Source organism: Homo sapiens, chromosome 12 (assembly GCF_000001405.40).
Source record: "Homo sapiens chromosome 12, GRCh38.p14 Primary Assembly".
In the NCBI taxonomy this organism is placed as follows: domain Eukaryota; kingdom Metazoa; phylum Chordata; class Mammalia; order Primates; family Hominidae; genus Homo; species Homo sapiens.
Window position 1 is genome coordinate 94,097,323 of NC_000012.12, and position 4,290 is coordinate 94,101,612.

At 46.6% G+C, this 4,290-nt stretch overlaps 3 annotated features.

Annotated features, from left to right (window-relative positions):
- Window positions 1,191–1,485: a silencer, noted in NCBI's record as "tiled region #9295; HepG2 Repressive non-DNase unmatched - State 23:Low". NCBI's record gives its function as "represses a minimal TATA promoter and a strong SV40 promoter by Sharpr-MPRA in HepG2 cells {active_cell/tissue: HepG2}" and the evidence as "EXISTENCE:reporter gene assay evidence [ECO:0000049][PMID:27701403]".
- Window positions 3,259–3,768: an enhancer, noted in NCBI's record as "H3K4me1 hESC enhancer chr12:94494357-94494866 (GRCh37/hg19 assembly coordinates)". NCBI's record gives its function as "activates a minimal SCP1, AML or CMV promoter by ChIP-STARR-seq in naive H9 embryonic stem cells {active_cell/tissue: H9 hESC(naive)}" and the evidence as "EXISTENCE:reporter gene assay evidence [ECO:0000049][PMID:30033119]".
- Window positions 3,769–4,277: an enhancer, noted in NCBI's record as "H3K4me1 hESC enhancer chr12:94494867-94495375 (GRCh37/hg19 assembly coordinates)". NCBI's record gives its function as "activates a minimal SCP1, AML or CMV promoter by ChIP-STARR-seq in naive H9 embryonic stem cells {active_cell/tissue: H9 hESC(naive)}" and the evidence as "EXISTENCE:reporter gene assay evidence [ECO:0000049][PMID:30033119]".

Below are 4,290 nucleotides of genomic sequence, written 5' to 3' on the forward strand. Positions count from 1 at the left end.
AAAAAACTGAAAGCACGGACGTGAAGCTCATCGCAACTTTATTTACAGTAACCAAAATGTGGAAGCAACCCAGGTGCCCACAGATGGATGAATAGAAAAAATAAAATGTGAAGTATACATACAAGAATATTAGACAGCCTTAAAAAGGAAGCAAATCCTAAAGCATGCTACAATACAGATAAACCTTTGAGGACATCATGCTAAGTGAAATAAGCCAATCACAAAAAGACAAATAGTGTATGATTCCACTCCTATGAGGCACTTGGAGCAATCATTGCCTCTATCTACTCCGGGACCCTTTCATCACCCCCAGCTGAAACCTCATACCTCATATTATTATTAAACAATAACTCCCCATTCCTCTCTCCTCCACCCTGCTAACCACCATTCTACGTTCTGTCTCCATGAATTTGACCATTGTCAGTATCTCACATACGTGGAGTATTTGTCCTTTTGCATATGGCCTGTTTCACTCAGCGTAATGTCTGCAAACTCCATCATGTTATAGCATCTATCTACGTTTCATTCCTTTTTAAGGTTAAATAATATTTCATTGTATGTATATACCATATTTTGTTTATTCATTCATATCAATTGACATTTGGGTTGTTTAGATGCATGTTTTAAAGACAGGGTCACAGTATTCCCCGAGAGTTTTTAAATTTTACAATATGCAATAGAAAGTCTTTTTGATGATGGGGGTTAATTTCTCCCAGCGCCAGCAAGTCAGCTGGCCCCTCTTTCCTGAATAGCCTCGGAGGTTTTCTGTGATCACAAAAGAATGCTGTCAGGGAAAAAAAAAAAAAAAAAAAAAAAAAGCCTCTCCAGAGATAACTCTTCGGTCAAACCAGGTTTATTAAGGGATGTCTCCTGCCGGGCACGGTGGCTCATGCCTGTAATCCCAACACTTTGGGAGGCCGAGGTGGGCCGATCACTTGAGGTCAAACTTTCGAGACTAGCCTGGCCAACATGGTGAAACCCTGTCTCTACTAAAAATAAAAAAAATTAGCCAGGCGTGGTGGTAGGCGCCTGCAATCCCAGCTACTCAGGAGGCTGAGGCAGGAGAATCGCTTGAACCCAGGAGGCGGAGGTCACAGTGAGCCAAGATCGTGCCACTGCACTCCAGCCTGGATGACAGAGCAAGACTCCATCTCAAAAAACAAAAATAAAAATAAAAAAATAAAAAAGGATGTCTCTAAATGTCTGTTCAATATGGAACAAAGCCAGTGGGTGCTCCAGCCTTACGAAAAAGACACAGATGCTAAAGGCTTTCTTTCATCAACAGCCTCACACCCCCAAAGATCATTTCCACATAATGCAAACGAGCCCCAGTCAGGTCTGCCATGAAGATGACTCAGGCATGTGAAATCTCAAACCTCTCACTCTTAGGAAAAGCATATTTTAAATACTGGAGCTCCTGGTGTGTTGGGGATGGAGCTGGGACACAAGAGTTGATATAAATGTCTCAGCTTATGGCTTATCTGTTGTGGAACACGCCAACTTTACTACCATACTAGATTTATCTAAGTCAGTGAAAGCCTTCAACAAACCTCAGACTTCAGACCTTCTGACTTCAGTTAGAGCATGGAACAGCATCTTTGACAGAGTTGGAAAGAATTTATCCTTCTTTCCTATTCAGTTCATCTGTCACAAATTTGCAGAGCATGTGTGACACCGTTCCCAGACATCTTTTTGGTCACTGGGGCTAGAGAAGTGAGCGTGACAGACAAGGTTCCTTTACTCAAGGAGGTCATACACTTACAAAGAGCCAGCAAGCAAACAAACGAGATGGCTTCAGATTGTGGTAAATCCTATCAAGGACACAATCAGGGACCTGACACAGTGGCTCATGCCTGTAATTCCAAAACTTTGGGAGGCTGAGGTCAGAGGATCGCTTAAGGACTGGAGTTAGAGACCAACCTGGGCAACACAGTGAGACTCCATTTCTACAAAAAATTTAAAAATTAGCCAGGCGTGGTAGCACACACCTGTAGTCCTAGCTACTCAGGAGGCTGAGGTGTGAGGATCGTTTGAGCCAGGGAGTTCAAGGCTGCACTGAGCTATGATCATGCACTGCACTCTAACCTAGATGACAGAGTGGACCTTGTCTCTTAAAAGAAAAAGACATAATCAGGAACATGAGAGAGGGAGTGACTATGAGGCTATGTAGGTGGCAGAGCCACTGCCCACCAGGGCTTGAGGGAAGGGTGCTCTGAGGAGGTGATAGATACTTGAACTAAGGCCTAAGGTGGAGATGCACAAGCCATAGAAGGAGCTGCAGAAAGGGCCTTCCAACCAGAGGACATTGTGCATGCATAGGCATAGCTTTAGGAAGAGCTTGGCGTGTGCAAGTTGCAGAAAGAAGGCAGGCGCTACAGCCAGAGTGCGATGAGCGAGGAGCAGGTGGTGGAGGCAGGCAGGGCGGTGGGGGTTGTGGGAGGGCTTCTGGCCAGTTATGGAAAGCCACAGGAAGATGAGAAGCAGGATAACGATCTGAATGACATATTTCAAAGAGTACGCAGGCTGCAGCTGCGGGGTGGAGAATGGATTGTGTGAGTCTCCTCTTTCTCCCCCGTCTTTCCTTTGAGAATATCACAGGAAGGGCAGCAAAGCGCTCACCCTCACCTTTCCCTTACTCAGTGAGACTCTGGACTGTGGACTCTCATGATAGAGATAAACTTTTATTTTCTGTCTTGTTTAGGCCACTGTTAGGCTGAACCTCTTTTATCCTTTGACCTAATTATCAATGTCTGATCCTAGTTAATAAAGCTCTCACTTTTAGCTGCTCATAAAAGCTCAAACTCTGGGAACCACTAGTTCATACCCTCCTTGGCCTTTGGCATATTCTATTCCTCCTTTTGTCTCTAATGTTTTGCTTGCATCCTTGGCACAAAACACCCACCCAATACCTAGGAGGTGTTCCATAAACACTGAAGAGGAGGAGGAGGATGCAGCGCCTAGAGGTGTCTTGTTGTTTTCAGACCTTGTTAGTCATCAGGTGTCAGAAGAAATCTGTAATGTGGACTTCATCATGCAAAATGGCTCACGCCTTGCCGAGTGGCACTCAGCCCAGGAGTGCGAACGGGGAGAGGAGATTTCAGCCAGACCCTGACTCTTGTTACCTCACCTGGGGATGTGCAGCCTTGAATGCACTGACTCACCATCCGCTTCTGGGAGGCTATTATTTTTATCAGTTTGCAGCAGCAGGAAGTGAGAAGAGAGCTTCTAGGAGGGAAAGGATGCCTGAGATTCAGCTGAGGACTTCAGCTGGTTCCCTGTTGCAGCCTCCTCCAGAAGTCTCTGTTTTTCCTGTGTAGCGTTTATCTTAGGTATGACCAATTAACGTGTTTATTCAATATATCTTCCCTTATTAGACCATCGGCTCCACCCAAACCAGGAATCAACTCTGCCTTTTTCACCCTGGTACCTGGCACACAGAAGGTACTCAGTAAAATATCGGTTGAGAAATGAATAAATCAACCTTTTCATGAAGAGGAAAGAGATAAATAGAATCGGTTAAGCTTGACACAGGAAAACCCGTTTGTTTGTTTGTTTGTTTGTTTGTTTTTTGAGACAGAGTCTGGCTCTGTGGCCCAGGCTGGAGTGCAGTGGCACGATCTTGGCTCACTGCAAGCTCTGCTTCCCAGGTTCAAGTGATTCTCCTGTCTCAGCCTCCGAGTAGCTGGGATTACAGGCACGAGCCACCACGCCCAGCTAATTTTTGTATTTTTGGTAGAGACCGGGTTTCACCATGTTGGCCAGGCTGCTCTCGAATTCCTGACCTGAAGTGATCCGCCGGCCTCAGCCTCCCAAAGTGTTGGGATTACAGGCAAGAGCGACCGCGTCCGCCCCCCTTTGCAAGCTTTAAAGGAAATTATTTGTCTCATAGATAGGATTATTCCCTTTGTGGGTGAGCCCTGGCGAGAACCTCCGTCCTGAGCCAACTTCCTTAGCGGGATTCTCACCCTGCCAGGTAAGATCCCTCTGTTACCAGGAGCTCCATAAAATGCAAATAAGTTTCAATATTCACTTAGGAAAATAAAAATGAGCAGTAAGTCAGCTAGGAGCAAAAGGAACGGGACATTCAAAGGCTGTGCCCAATGTCAGACAGAAGTAGCTTTGTAATTCTCCCAGTGTAGGGCTGCAGGCACCTGGCGCTGGAGACCCGGCCTGGACGAGGCAGGGCTCAGGGCGCGGCTGGAGGGGCTCGCCCGGCGGGGCGCTGGAGCGGGAGAAGGGCGCCCTCTGCCGGGGGTGAGGAAGATCAGTCCGCACGCGCGGTGCCTTGGT